At 37.7% G+C, this 15,882-nt stretch overlaps 1 protein-coding gene across 17 annotated transcripts in view; it reads left to right on the forward strand.

Moving 5' to 3' along the window:
* The window catches only part of SUGCT (succinyl-CoA:glutarate-CoA transferase), a 903,812-nt gene that overhangs the window by 608,279 nt on the left and 279,651 nt on the right, over positions 1–15,882 (forward strand). For all 17 annotated transcript variants that reach the window (XR_007060157.1, XR_007060158.1, XR_007060156.1 and 14 more), the window contains one exon: positions 6,151–6,214. Coding sequence is in view for 14 of the 17 variants with exons in the window: in XM_047420840.1 (XP_047276796.1) it covers positions 6,151–6,214 (64 nt within the window). In the remaining 3 variants the exon portion in view is untranslated. The remainder of the gene's footprint in view (positions 1–6,150; positions 6,215–15,882) is intronic.

Consider the following 15,882-nt stretch of genomic DNA (forward strand, 5'->3'; position numbering starts at 1 on the left):
GAACTCTAGGCATTCATTAAAAGCTTAAAATAAGAGCACTCTCCCCCAACTTCTATAAAATAAAGAAACCAAAAGGAAGTACCTGCAATTTACTCAGTTAATTCAATTTAATTTAAAAAAATTCAGTAAATGTTAATTGAGCATCTACCAGATAGTGCCAGATAACATTCATGGCACTGGGCATATAGCAGGGGACAAAACAGATAATATTATGTAACAATAACAGACCAGTGGTTTCTGCTTAATTGGAAAGTTTCCCTTAAAAGGCAGTAAGCTTCTTGAGGGCATGACCTTGAGTTTTCTGTGACCCAGTTTTTCCTCAGCACTTAACAATGCCTGGCACATTAGTATGTATTTAATGCTTATTATTAATTATTGTTCTTTACTGTTAGTACATTTAATATGTGTTCAATGAATGTACCCCAAAGCCACACATCTTGTACCTGATGAAGCCAGAGTTTGAACCCAGTCTATTGGTAACAGGAAAAACAGTTGCCGCTTCTTGTGAGCACACTCTGCACCAGGGCCTATGCTCAGGGCTTTATACTCATCATTGCACTTCGTCCCTTAGAAAGAGATATTATTATCCCCTTTTTACTAATAAAGATTCTTTTTTTAAATTTTCTATTTTTAAAATTTTTTGAATATATATTTTTGAAACGGAGTCTTGCTCTGTCGCCCAGGCTGGAGTGCAGTAGCACAATCTTGACTCACTGCAACCTCCGTCTCCTGGGTTCAAGCGATTCTCCTGTCTCAGCCTCCCGAGTAGCTGAGATTACAGGCACACACCACCACACCTGGCTAAATTTTTTTTTTTTTTTTTTAGTAGACGCGGGGTTTCGCCATGTCGGCCAGGCTGGTCTTGAACTCCTGAACTCAGGTGATCCACCTGCCTCGGCCTCCCAAAGTGCTGGGATTACAGATGTGGGCCACCACGCCTGGCCACTGATGAGGGTTTTAAGCCTTAGACTACTTAAATGCCTTGCCCAAGATCACCCTCTGGGTCCATCCCCTTCAAATACTTCCAATTTTCACAGCCTTTGTATCTGTGGTGCCAGAGTATCCTTGGCTACCTGCAATGGTGCAGCTCAGTGTATTAACTAATAGGACCACATGGTGTCATGTAATCTGTTTGGCTGATTTTCTTTCCCCACTAAAGTGACTAATTTTTTTTACAGAATTGACCACATCAGCTAGTTATTTTAATGGTAAATCAAATAAAGCTTTTCCATTTTTTTTTGTCTCCAACTGCCAGAACCTGGCTAAATTAGACACACCTAAATTATAATCCAAGATCAGCCATTTAGTAATTGTGAAATCTTGGACAAATACTTAGCCCCTCTAGGTTTCTAACACCTTATCAGTAGAGGTGAAGATAATAATTCCTACCTAGTCTGGTTAATGAGAGGATTAAATGAATAAAGCTTTATGTCCTAACCCAATGCCTGACCCTTAAGGAGTTTTGCTGAGCAGCACCTGCTGTTACTACATTTATCATTGTTATTTTTAACCTTAACATCTAATTTCAACATTATCTTTGTTCTCTGGTCTTTACTAACCTCCCTGACCTAAGTCATATTATCTTAATCTAACAAATCACCAACTTCTTTCAAGATAGGCAGAGTTACTTACTTGCTCCTCTTTGGATTTGCTCCTTTGTTATGGAGCTTAAACTGTGTTATAACAATTTATATGACTGTGTTATGAAAAAGATCTCTTATTCTGTACCCTCTCTTCTAATTACATACATTTTTAATGCAGGTTCATTCATCTTTTCACTGCCAGCTTCTTCATTTTGCCTAGCATATAAGTGCTATCGTGTTTGTTGAATGAATAGGTCATATCATTATCCACAGTGAATAGATAGGTCAGTTCTCTTTTGTACATTATTGCTAATACCATTGATGGTATTACTTTGATTTTGATATGTGTAAGGACACTGTAGTGTTTACAAATATCATTTGTATATGTAATTTCATGTCTTTTCATTAGAATATTCCTCTCTCACTTTCCATAAATATTTTCACTGTCTATGGATTTTTATTTTTTGCATTTTTTGTCTTGCTAGTGCTATATTACAAATTTTTTTCTTCTGCCATTTCTGCCATAGGACTTTATAAAAAGACTTTCTTACTTTCACTTAAACTTTTATTTCCCACGTTACTTTAAGGTATACATTTTACTCTTTCCCCCCATCATTAATACATTACCACTTGACTCTGTCATTAGGCTGTCAATCTGTAAAACGCTTGAGAAAGAAAGAGAGACCTTATTTTAAATAGGCCTGATACTTTGCTAAAGAGGTTGGCGCACTGACTACAATTCTATTCTTGTCAAGAATAGGCTTTTGAAATTTCAAGGAGAAGAAATGGAATTTAGAAGAGCTACTAAACCATGAAAGACCTAGGAAGGATAAAATAAGTAAAATGAAGGAGAAAACAGTAAAATCCAAAGACATTGCTAAATGGACAAAATTCACTACAAAATTCTGGAGAAATTCCCTGCCTTATATTGAAATAACTCAATATGCAACAAAGAATGCCCTGAATGGCCAGACCTAGCACCAAGGCATGAAACTCTCTTTAAGCCATGAATATCTTAAGGGAAATTATAGCAGTTAATTGTTAGTGGTCAGAAAAACAAAACATTTTTTAATTGAATTTCTAGGTTAAGGTGATAGAGGTTGGGGTGTTGGGGCCAGATGAGAAAAGAACAAGGAAACATTTAGTAACCATTCACCAAAAAATGTTATACAAATGGTGATAACAGGTAGTTCCTTCATTTCCAATGAAGTTTAGAGGGGACAAATTTAATCATGTGGCAAAGTTAAGTGTCAAACATGAAAGGGAGTTGAAGTGTCAAACGTGAAAGGGTAATGAAGCAGGAGAGATTTATGTTAGAATTCAGACAGACTTCCTGGGTTCTGAAATCCTCTAATATGTTACTAAGCAGAGCAGGATTCGCCCCACAAACAAGGCTGGAGAGTTTTCCAAGATTCCAAGTCATTAGGCAGGGTTTCCAGGGACAGCACTGCCACAGCCTCCATTGTTCTGTGGGATATTCTGACCTGATTCAAGAAGAAAGCCTATGGAATTGTATGGACTTCACACTTTATATGAAAAGGTTGGCGGCAACCAAGCAGGGGAATACATCAGTTCCTTCTGAACACGGGGCTCACACCAGCCCATTTGCCTCATAATTGTATGCATGCTACAGCAAATGAGAAACTGCAACTTCCTCTGCCGAATGTAAGAAGAATTTATATTTTTGCTTAAAACGGAATGGTTTTCAATGCAAAGGCATTGATAAGGTTAAAGTGTCATACTGAAAATATCCTATATAGACAGCAATCGGCATAGGGGTGGAGAAAGTACGCTCTTTAAACTGCTTCCGTGGAAAATTTCAATCAACTGCTAGCTTTTGCTTCACAAAACTTTGACGTATGTCCCTTGACCTTTACCAACTACCCTTTCACGTTTGACACTTAACGTTTGCTACATGATTAAAATTCAGCGTTAATTAATTTCAACACTATCAGTTAAGTTATATTTAGCTAAGAACACTCACTTTTGTCTTTCGTGAGTAGCACTGCAGTGTTATTACAAAGAGGTAGTCAGGAGGGCAACAGAGATACGAGGAGAGAAGAATGATTCAGTGTGCAGATAATTGTTTTGAGTGAAATTTAGCTCGGTATTTTTGTTCCTGTCCTCAGTAGAACTGAGATTTAGCACCTCCCGTTGGCATTTAGCCCCCACCCCCACATAGGAGGAAGCTGTGCGGGGCGGGTGCTGAGAACGAGCCACACCAGAATTAAATTATAGCACAATTCTAACACTGGCGAGAATTTTATCTGGCCAGCTCTTGAGTACAAACCTGGTGATCCCAAAAGAAAGCATCTCTGTGTGGTGTGTTATCATCCTCAATGAGGGAGGTTGACATCGTTGTTTAAAGAGCATCACCCGAAAAGTGGTAACCATTCCCAAAGAAACCAGTGGCAGCCAGAATATTTAGCCATAGCAAAACTGTAGTTCTAAACTTAAAAGGTCACCCGTGAAGTTGTCTTATTGATGATTTATTTTATGATGTGACTCACTAGAAATGAATAAAACCCAAGAAATTTGAGCTCTCTCTCCGAGTTTAACAAAGTGAGAAAACATTTTATTACTTTCTTTATTCCATGCTCTTTTGCTCTGTGAATGGATTATGGTAAGAAGGTAGATATGCAAATCTTGCTTTTACCTGAAGCTCAAAATGCTGTAGAACCATTATAGCTGCCACTCTTTGGGATGCTGGCATGAAATCGTGGTCTGTAAGATTACTGTGCCACTGAAATACTTCTGTCATTTAGATGCACGTACAAGACAGGAAGAGAGGTTCTGTGCTTGGTAGATAGTGTAGGTGAAACACAATTTATATGTAAGATGCCCATAAATGTCTTACTAAGGTTCCAGTAATAGATGTTGGATTCTTTGGGACAGTATACCCAGGTAGCCTCCAATTGTTTTTTTTTAAATAAAAAAATGTGTTGCATTTTTATTTGCGTATCACAAAACATTTTGCCTCCAATAATTCAACACTTATGTATCAGAATTTGGTTCCATGCCCTCAGCCCATCCACCACCTTTAGTTGGAGGGCACTGGGGATTTTGTCTTTTTGCTTACCCCCAGGGAAAATTCCAGCCTTCGTTTGCCAGGGATTTAAGTTGCTTCATTTCAGTACTCAAGTGATTCAGCATCAAGTCACATTTCTCTTGTCAGGCACTGGTAGAATGTCCCTGCACTAGTAACTGGCCTTAGATTTTAAATCCAAGCCAAAGCTACCTTGTGTTCTTGGTGGGACACTAGATACCTATCTCGGTCCCATTGTTGTGGGATTAGGAGGATTAGAGAGAGACTTTGGGGTGTATGTAGGAGGGTATTTTTATTACTGAGTGTATTTAGATTTAGTAGATTTAATGTTTAAAGATTGGGTTTAGAATAAAGATAGTATTTGATTTTTATGTATATTTTATAAAAGGGGGTGGGTTAGTTTGAAGTAAGTTTATAGTGGCGTGAAAGTAGGGATCTAGAAGCAGGATAAAGATAGTTAATTAAATTGTAATAGGTTTATAATTTATGATTGTATATGATTGTTTTTAACTAATTTAGATGTTTATTATTTAGGTTTTGTTTTAAAGAGTTTTGTATTGGTTTATTTTATAATTTTTATTATGGTGTTTAATAGTTGTAGTTTTAGGTTTGTTTAGTTTTTTTATGATTTTTGTTGTATTTTTAGAGAAAATAGAATATTTGAAGTTATTAGTTATAGAGAATAAGAATTTATAAAAATATACTTATTGTTGTCTTTGAAATAAATTAATTTAATATAGAAAAATTTATTTTATTTTATTATTATTTTTTAAATTTCCTGCCTCACCATTGCATGAGAACCTAATCAGCCCTCTGGGATGAAGTCTCTGGCTTTTTTACTCCAGTATCCTGGAATCCTGTTTCTGAACTCTAGTCTTATGCTTAAGGTCTTGGCCACCATTGAAAATGTTCCTGGTTCAGCTTCCCTGTGCTTGCTTCTGACCTGGGTCTCCTCTGGATTTGCTGTCAGCTGCTTATTTGCTTGTCACAGCAGCCCTGAATCCTTCCACCTCCAGCAGTCACCGAGCCTTCTGGATACTCTGATTTATTCTTCAAACTGGACTGACTCCCCATACCTTCTGCTGAACAGATTTCCAGGAGCATGTGTACCACCCCAGTGTGCTGCTCTGTTTGAGGTCCTATTTCTTGACCTTGGCCGAGTCCTGCCATAAGGTTATGCAGGAAAAGGCTGAGCTTTAATATTAGGGGAGCATCCATAAATGAAAGAGAGGAAATCATCTGCTATATTTAGGAGCAAATAAAAATTTTAAGAGTGGGAAGGTCTTATTGAAATGTTTTCTAGTCCGTGAATCCTCTAGTCTTTTTTGGCTTCATTTGGTGTATTATAGGATGAAACGTTATTTTTATGTCAAATGTTTACTTTCAAATGAAAATGTTAAACACTTCTGTGTTTTGCCATATCTTTCTTTGATGTCGACTGAATAGATGGCTGTCCATGCCTTGCAATTGAAGATGGTTTTATTTTGTAAATTATTTTTCTCTCTGTTTTTGCCTTTTCAGGTATTACACAATGGCCTCGTTATGGAGATGGAGCATCCAACTGTGGGGAAGATTTCCGTCCCAGGTCTGAAAAGTTTTGGTATTTTCTCTAGCACCTTTCTTTATTAATTGTCCCATATGCTGTTTACTACAGGTAGCTTATGAGCTCCCAAACAACTTTCCAAGACATTATCCAAATTTATAACATTGGGTAAAAGGGGAATCCTAGGACTGCACTCACAAAAATGTATGCTGAGACTATGGCATTGTGTCTTAGCTCTAAGGAGTGTCGGATTGCCACGATGACAAAAAAATGCTCGCATTTCTTAATTCCATTTTGTGTAATCACGTGCTCACAAAAGTACATCATGTAATTATCAACAGGTTGATAGTAATAGGTATGGCCAATAACAAGAAATAGAGTGTCGTTCATATGAGAATTGGAAAGAAAGCCAGGCAAGATGTAACTGGAGTCCGAGGAAGGCTACTGACTGCTCAGGCTCGGGCATTTTCTTTCAGAACCGTGGTTTAAGGTGTGGATCTTGGCTTTACAGAACAAGAAACTAAATGTTTTCAGTACACCCAGAATAGATTGAATTTTTGGAAGTTGATTCATACTAAACCAGCTCACCAGAGACTGCTGCCTAAGCCGAAATGCCAGCTTCTTTACTTGCAGAGGGAGCTCTTATTTCAGCAGCCAGTAGCCTCATGCCTACTCTCAAAGCATCCTCTTAAGTGGTGCATTTAAACTGCAGTGAGAGCTTGTGACCAATACATTTCCCTCCCACAGCCTCCATTTCTCTGATAATCACAATATTACCTTTATCAGATATGTTTTTTCTCTATTCCAGGCATCGCTGGAAAATCCACATTCCAGCAATGGAGTTCCAAATTATTTGTTCATTGTGTCCATATTTTCTAGACTAAACACAAACCAAGCACTTATTTTTTTTTCTTTTCTTCTGATGGAGGTCAGTGAAATTAGCTAGGATATAATTTTTGTTATTGTTTTTTCCTAAAACCGTTTCCTGGCCATCTTACTTGGAATTTAGGTATCTGCCAAACTCTTCAGTCACCTCAGTCAGGTGGCATAGAGTATTTACTTCTACAGGCATCTGATCTCATTTATTGAAGGACTATTCTTGTTAATTTTATCCTAAATAGAATCTAAGATTTGGGATCAGCTTTATAATAATCTCCCATAACCTACCAGATAGTGACCACTCGCGCATGAAAAGAGTAAGAAGAGGGAAGTATGATGAATAAAGAAAGTTGAAGAGAAAATTCTAATGTTCAAGAACATAAGGAATATTATGCATGGATTAAGGAAGGTAACTAAGAGAGCAGGTATAAGCAAATGAAAAACTGAGATCACATGTTCTAGGGAAATGTTATATGGTATAGAAAAGTGGTAGAAAAAAATGTTGACAAAAGCTAAGAAGTTCATCAGTTCATCCACTCATCTGTATTACTGAGTATATACTATGTGCCAGGTACTGCTTTGGGTCCTAAAAATACAAAAATAAACCAGACAACTTCACCCCTGGCCACCTGGAACTGATACTTAATAGAAAGTTGAATGATATAACAACCAACAAATGTTTCTATAACTGTAAGTCATAAGTGCAAAGAAAGAAAGAAGAATGTGCTGTCATAGAGAATGATGGGGTCAGATGGGGCCTTCTGTAGTTTAGGTGATCGAAGAAAGTCTCTCTGAGAGGCAGACTTATAACATGACACTGAGGGGCAAAACGAATAGAGGATGAGCATTTCCAGCAGAGGGAACAGCATGGGAGAAAACCCCGAGGTGATGAAGTGTGGGGTGTGTTCTAAGCCAGGATGAAAGGTGGGGAAGTGGGGCAGGAAATGAGACTGGAGAGGTAGGGAGAGCCTGGGGGCCCTGTTAAAGTTGTGTTTTCTCTCGTTTTAAGTAGGGGAATAAAATCACACAATTTACAGCTTAAAGCCGGCGGTCAGGTTAGGAAGTGATACAGGAGTTTAGGTGATAGTGTCTTAAATTAGGGTCATGGGAATAGAAATAAAAAGAAGGGGTGGTTAAAATAAAAAATGTAATCATAAGTCTTTGAGTATTAGATCTTTAGAAAACATCTGGTCTAGTAGTTTTTGATATTTATACAGTAAAACTGATTTTCCACATGAAGAATCCGTAGCTAACACAGATGGAAGCAGAGTTAGGCTGATTGATAGGTTAGCACTCCTATTGTTTAGCTTTCCTCCTCTGCCCACCATGCTGTGGTCTTCCACACATCTCTCCTTGGAAGTCTGGGCCCTGAAGAACCAGTGATCACTTAACCCCACAAGTTTACAGATGAGGTCATACAGGGGTTGGTATCCCCAACACATTAGAGAAAGGGTAAGCATTTGAAAGTCAATATGATTGTCAGCATGATAATGAGGAAAAAAGTAAGTCAGTGGCCAACCAAGAATGAACTCATTGGAGGTAACACTCTTTCAGTCAGGCGTAATTTGCTGACTTTCACTGTAAGTGAACGAAAGCTAAATCTCAGCAGGAGGGAAGTATTATTTACAGATTACTAGAAGGGAAGAATATTTCTTTTGCCCACTTTAATTTATCAATGTATCAGGTAGCCATTGTCACAAGAATGCTGTGTAAGAAATAACCTCAAGCTCTTAATGGTTTTCAAACATAAGCATTTGTTTATCCCATGCATGTGGATTAGCTGGGATGTTTCATATAGTTTGGGCTCAGCTGGGTAGCTTTGCTTCTAGTTCCAGGTCTGGCCAGGTTTAGCTCCTGCCTGTGCTTGGAGTCATTTCTAATCCGTGTGTCTCTCCTACTCTTCTGACGGTCATGGCTGCAGAACACTGGGGCAAGCAGAAACCACAGTGCTATGTAAGATGTTGGTGTACAGCTGGCAAACCCTTATGCCTGCATCTTATTAGTCCAAGCAAATTTTATTTTTTAAATTAATTTATTTTGAGACAGAGTCTCACTCTGTCGCCCAGGCTGAAGTGCAGTGACGCAATCTCAGCTCACTGCAACCTCCACCTCCCAGGTTTAAGCAATTCCCCTGCCTCAGCCTCCTGAGTAGCTGGGATTACAGGGACGTACCACCACACCCAACTAATTTCTGTATATTTAGTAGAGACGGGATTTCACCATGTTGGCCAGGCTGGTCTCAAACTCCTGACCTCGGGTGATCCACCTGCCTCGGCCTCCCAAAGTGCTGGGATTACAGATGTCAGCCACTGTGCCCGGGCAAAAGCAAGTTTTAGGCTGTATCCAAAAGGGTGGGGAAATACATGTGACCCTTTCTGAGAGAAATTTCAAAGTTATATGGTGAGGAGCATGGGCACAGGGAGAAGTAAATAATTGGAGTAAAAAATTCACTTGACTACAACAGAGTTCTCAGATCCACAGCAATTTCTTTCTCCTTTTTTTGTTTTAATCTCCCTTTGGAAAATTCTATTTTTGTTTAGTGTTTATAGGGCTTAGTCATCTTTTTGGTATGTCTATCTTGTTATCTTGTATTCTTTCTATAGAATTATCAATATGGGAATTCCCAGATTTGAGATGAAATGCATGAGTCTAGTTAATGTTTGGAATTAGAATCTGAGTGTGTTTTGAGTGCAGCACATCTGAATTCCTCATGAGAGGGGAATGACAATTCTGCTTACAGATGTCAGATAAAAAGAGGCTATTGTATCTCCTAATTCAGTATATCCCAATAAGAGGCCACATAAACAGGACAAGAGTTGTTAAATGCAAAGGGAATGTATCAGTAATATAATTTACAATTTGTCTGTGGATTCTACCTGTCCTTGATTTTATTTACCTATGATAGTTCTGCCTTTCTTTGTTGGGGATGTTCCCATTGGAGAACTCATAAATGCTATAGACATAACTCAGTTTCCTCAGAATGTCTCAATATGGTAAGTCTGCCAAAACAAGAAACACAAGCTACAGTTAAAGGTGACTTTTGCTACACTGTTTTCTGGTTAACTAGTGGAGACACATTTTGAATTTGCTAGACATAGTTCTATAGATTTACACATACATATCCACATCTTCACGTTTACAGTAACAATCCTTATTAGGATTGTTATTAGCATTATTAGCATTACCAGCTTATTACCATTCCAAATTATTCTACTTATTTATATTTCCTGCCTTATTTATGAACTTCTTGCAACCAGTACTGAATTTTCTGTATGTCACACTAATTTGCCTGAAGCACTTTCTTAGTCATTACCAGAAACTTGTCTCTTAAAAACAGCAGTAAATCATGTGATATTTATAGAGCCTTCTTTAGAGTTGTATAAATCCACATAGCATTCCTTCAGATGAGAGCTTATTGATTAATACATTAAAGATACTGGTCAACTCGTGTTTAATATACTTTGGACAAGGATAGGAAATTATTTACCTCTTAAAAATCCCTTTTGGCTACTTAAAGAAAATAATTATTTCAGCCATTTAGTACATTGTTTCAATCTTTGTAATCATTACCATTATTAAAATACAATAAGTAGTATCATCTAAACTATTTCCTTTATTATATCTGTTGCAAATACTCCCTTTCATATGAGTCTCTATCATCTTCAAACTATAATAAAGAGTTAGGAAAGAAATGTAATTTGTGTTTACAGATGATCTGGTTAAAACATGCAAACTAGTTAAGCCCATGAATTATCTCTAAGTGTGAGTTTTAGTTATGCTAATGCTATTGTTCTTTATTTAGTATATTATTCATTAAAGTACTCCCTCATCTGAACTTTAAAGCCTATTATACAGTTAAAAGTGAAGAGAGACAAAGAAAAATGAACTATCAATGGGTGTATAAGTGAGAACAGGTATTATGTGACTCTTTGCCAGACTCTAACATTCTGGTGTTCTAAGAGGCCTCAGTGAGGGAAGTGGTTGTTAGTTTGAGGTCACCATTAGCTTAATGATAGAAGTGTCAGCATGATAGGCACAATGTACTAATTTGCTCTTAATTAATATAACCTGTATTGAGTGCTAAAACCTCAAACATTCCCTCCCCTGCCCCCGACAACTAACCTAACTAAACTTACTGTGTCTGGTACACTATTTAAGCTCTGGGGAGAAAACTGGATAGGACCAGTCCCTCGTGGAGCTTATGCTTGGCCAGGGAAACAGGCATGAACAATGAACATGGAAAAGTAGGTTGAGTGTTTCCTTGGAGAATCAGGGGCTACAGCTCAAGGCTCTGGGTGCACATACCAGGGAGACCTCACTTAGTGTGTAGGCTGAGGAAAGGTTTCTCTGAGAAGTGAAATGTATGCTTCACTTTCAGTGTGTAACTAAGTACAAAAACAGTATCAATGTTGAATCTGTGAGTGGTTTTCCACCTACTGTGATGTGCTACTGTAAATATACCTCTTTAATTACTTCAGGTATCTTTGATGACCTATTTAAATTTGTGTACATCATTGTACATAGGATAAAATGTTTTCACGTTTTTATGATAAAATTTGAACAAATAGCTTTTTAATAGATGTAATGATCCAGTGATTCATCAACAATGCCAATGATTCTTCAATGAAATTATATAATGTAAAAAAATGCAATCAGATACATGAACAATGTGAGTGCCTGGCACCCTGGAGGAGCAGAGAAAGCACTCCAGTGGAGAAACAGGGAGGGGGCAGGCTCACAGTGACCCCGAAGAGGGATCCAGAGGCCAGAGGAATAAGTTCTAAAATAGAGCTAATAATCACATTAAATACAAATCAAAAAAAATTCAAAGATATCTATGCTGGGGTCCCTGAGATTCCTACTGTCTGAGGAGTGAAGGTAGGACTTGCGAGTGGAGCTTGGATAGAAACCACCGGTTTAGCAGATGTTCTCATGGATTGATTTTAGGGGTAATTTCTATCTCTGTTGAAGACTTTTGTAAAACTTACAGTGTCCTAAATTTTAAACTGTGAAATTGATAGAAATTTGTATTTGTTAATTACAGAAATTTAAAAAGCACATTAAAGTTTACATCACAGCATTTCTGCGACAGGAGATGGGCCATTATGTAAATTTCACCTTATTTGTGACTTTAGTGGGAAGATCTTGCATAAGTTATCACATTCCAAAGGTTGGCCAATTTCCACCAAGCCATTCACTATTTGCATCTTCTTGCAATCACACCGGTCTTTGGCCTTTGAGCCAGAGTGGAGCATGCTGTCCTTGCATGTACTGTGGAGGTGCCAAGTTAGCATTGGTGCTGAGTGCCAAACTTCAAAGGATGTCATTGGAATAGAGTTTGATGTGTAGCTCTGCAGTTTCTCACCATAACCTTTTTCAGATACTTCCTGTGAATGTGCATTGCAGTCATTTGATTCTAGTTGCACTTCTGGGAAGTGTTTCAGTGGTGAGTGTGTCTGTGCTGTGAAGGGGAAGCAGTCTTCTATACATGCAAAAGGATTCGAAATTGAATTGCTTCTGCCTGCTGGTCCCCTGATCTGTGTTTTTCAGAAAGCAGCTCCAGGTTCTTCAATATACTTTATCCATAGTATTTTAATACTCACATTTGGAACTTGCAGCAGTTTTTAACTAGTGGGTGTTGGATGCAGAGACAGTAGTCACCACCATGCATTAGTGTAGTTTGAATCAAATTATTAGAATATTGATGTTTGGATTTTAAGGTGAATTTGTATAAAGTTGAATGTACTCCTCTATTTTATTATCGGACACATTATATTTCTGAATGTTTTGCAAGATGTTTTGTAAGTAATGATCTAAAACACTTCTCTGGGTTTGAGACAGTATACCTTCATAAGCTCCCAGAGGGCAAAAATGTCATAATTTGAAGTCTAACCAGCACCCTGTATGCCAACTAGGAACTTAAGAACATTTTCTGGATGATGATTACAATGGAAAACTATTAGATAATCAAAAACTTGATTTATGATCCATTTATTCAGTATGCATTTTTTATTAATGGACTGGCTACCTGCAGAAGCTCTCTGATAACAATTTATTTTACTTATTTAGTTAGTTTTCAATTTGAAGCCTATACATTAAATGGAGTAACTGCCTTGTATTTTCCATGCATTACAACTCTGCCTTTTCTATGCTACACAAGACTTTGCCTTCCCCTGTTACTTTTAGCTTTTTTCTTCTCTTTAGGTAGAAAATTAGATCATGTTTCTGAAATCACATGTCCTCAAAGTGCAGTTAAATTTCTATAATGGATAACAGCAGTGGGGAAAGCTGTCACAAATCTCACTGGGGAAAAAGAAAAATTAAGAGGAACCAAAGTTTCAGCATATATCTCTCCATAAAGTTTAAGTATGTTGGTGCTCATAAGGAATTCTGTGTAAAACCAATGTGAAAATGAAAGGTGAGATAAGTTATTTCTTCCAGGTAGAAAGGCCTTTCAGATGACAACAGGAAAAGTGTGTAAAGTTTTCATGTTGTGCGTAGTGCATAATCTATCTTCTAGAAAGAGCATACTCCTTAAGGGACCAGGTTAAGCTGCAAAAAGAGGAAAGAGATGAAAGGAAGTTTCTAGAGTCTGTCAACAAAATGAGAGAAAGTTGGCAGGAAAGTGAATTTTCAAATAGACTAGCTAGGGTACTTCCCAAAGTCCTCAATTATTTTTTTACCGTTATTAAATCCTTAACCCATGGCAGGGTACTGAGTGAAATCAATCAGTGTATTCTCAGGTGACTTGCCATTGAGTGCCTGGAGTCTTCTCTGGAAGTCCCTATAACAATAAGGTGGGGTAGTAGACATTGTTACTGTTCTGTGAGAAATGAATAGCACAGTGATTTTCCTTCCTAGGAGAGCAGGGAGGAAACAAAGGAGGCGTGAATTGCATCCCCAGGAATGTCTTTCCATCAGGCACCAGAGAAGCATCAGGAGCCAAGTTACTGTCGCTGATACAACTCAGGGATCTCCATCAACTATGCTTATCTGTGGCATGAGGAAGAAATATTTTGTGAGACCTGGGCTTTCATACTCTGGGAATTCTTATTTCTGTTAGTTGGGACTTGGAAAGCTGCCAAGAGCTCAGTTGTTCTTTTGCAACATATCCTCATCAACGTAGACCCTAGTGGGCTTCCCGATAAGTGAATGTGTCTAACAGACAAGAAACTCTTATTGCAAATCAGCCCTAAGTTATCAATGAATTCCTGGGGTGCAGAGTAAGTTTTCACTACTAGGAAGTGATATTTATGCTCAAGAATTTTCCTGGGGGAATATTTAACTGGACTCATACATTCTTTGGGATTTTTTCCAGTATCTCTATGCAGAATGATCCTTGAGATTAGAGGTATGTTTTAAATAATCCGAGTGGACCATTGAATGTTAACCTGAATATAGAAATCAAAAGAAAAATAAAAAGCCACAGGAAGAGTAAAAGGCTAAATGATGGTATACCGTTTTTGCTATTGTGTCAGAAGATGTATCAGAAATTTTCATCAGTTCTTGATTGCGTTCCTGGTATATTAGCTGCAGCCAACCTTCACTGAGTGCACAAAAAAGTCTTTCTGGATCAACTTTAAGTACTGACTTTACGATAAGCATTTAGGGAATAAATTAATCAAATTTAATTAGACATGTAAACTGATTAGAGAAGTAAAAACAAATATCTTACAATAGCTAAATACAAAAGTTTTAAAATTATCTACCAGTTTGGACTTCAGTATCATGGCGTTAACTTGGAGAATCAAGAAGTGACATTATCTTTGCCTCCAAGTGGCTTCAGCTAGGAGTGAGTTGCTTGGCTTTATGGTTGGGTTTATTCATGGTTGGACAGGGAGTCATTTTAATCCTTTCTCAAAGAGGAGTGGCTTTGCTTTCCTTCAGCATTACCAAGAAGGGACTTCTTGGTGCATGAAGAGATAAATTGGGCTGAATTTCATGGAATTTTTTTTTTAATGATCAGTCTTTAAGATGTCAAGAAGTATTCTGATTAAGAAGACTTAGATAAAATATTTATCTTTACTAAGCCAGATGGAGCAAGCCACCTTTTTATTTAAAATGATTGTAGTTTAATTTTGACTAAGCATACAATGTTATGATAATATTAAAAAGATGTTGGTGGAGATAAAGAAATGGTAGTAAAGGGGTTAAAGAAAAACCTTCAGATACCTTACTATAATCAATAGGAAATGTATCATATCCCATTTTTCATATCATCCCCAAACCTTCAGGATTTGGGGGCACTGAGCTAGGTATGTGGGCCTTATTGCTTCTCTCCTCAGCTGGAGCGAATCTTATTTGTCCTGTATGTATCAGCTTTAATGAAACCACATCTTCATGTTGTCATATCTTTATCTGGGTATGGCATTAACAGTCAGCATGTCTCAGTGTTCCTCCTTTGAGTAAGATGTTCTAATACCACATAGGAAGGGGGGCCCGAGGGACCTTGAAATGCTTCCCTAATTTGCCCTTTATCTGAACATTGTGTAAGTCAGAATGGGCTGTGTGCCTCTTGGAGTGGGTTGCCAATTAGTCTAATCTGCTTACAACCCTTGTGTCTGTTTGAAATGTTCCTAAGAGCTCTAAATCCTGGGTTATTTCAAGAAGCCGTAAGCATTTCAAACAGTTAAGCAAAAACCAAATTTTAATCAAATTAAAAATGAAAAAAATTAATAGCAGGACATTTTGGGCATTTGAGGCGTGGATGTGGTCAAATAAAAGTACCAAGAAGATGCTGCAGCCACAAAAACTAAAGAAGCACTACCCTCCGTAGACTTAAAGAATATCTGCAACAGAGACTAATTCTGCTTTCTCTTTGTTGCTGGGCC

Source organism: Homo sapiens, chromosome 7, assembly GCF_000001405.40.
Source record: "Homo sapiens chromosome 7, GRCh38.p14 Primary Assembly".
In the NCBI taxonomy this organism is placed as follows: Eukaryota; Metazoa; Chordata; class Mammalia; order Primates; family Hominidae; genus Homo; species Homo sapiens.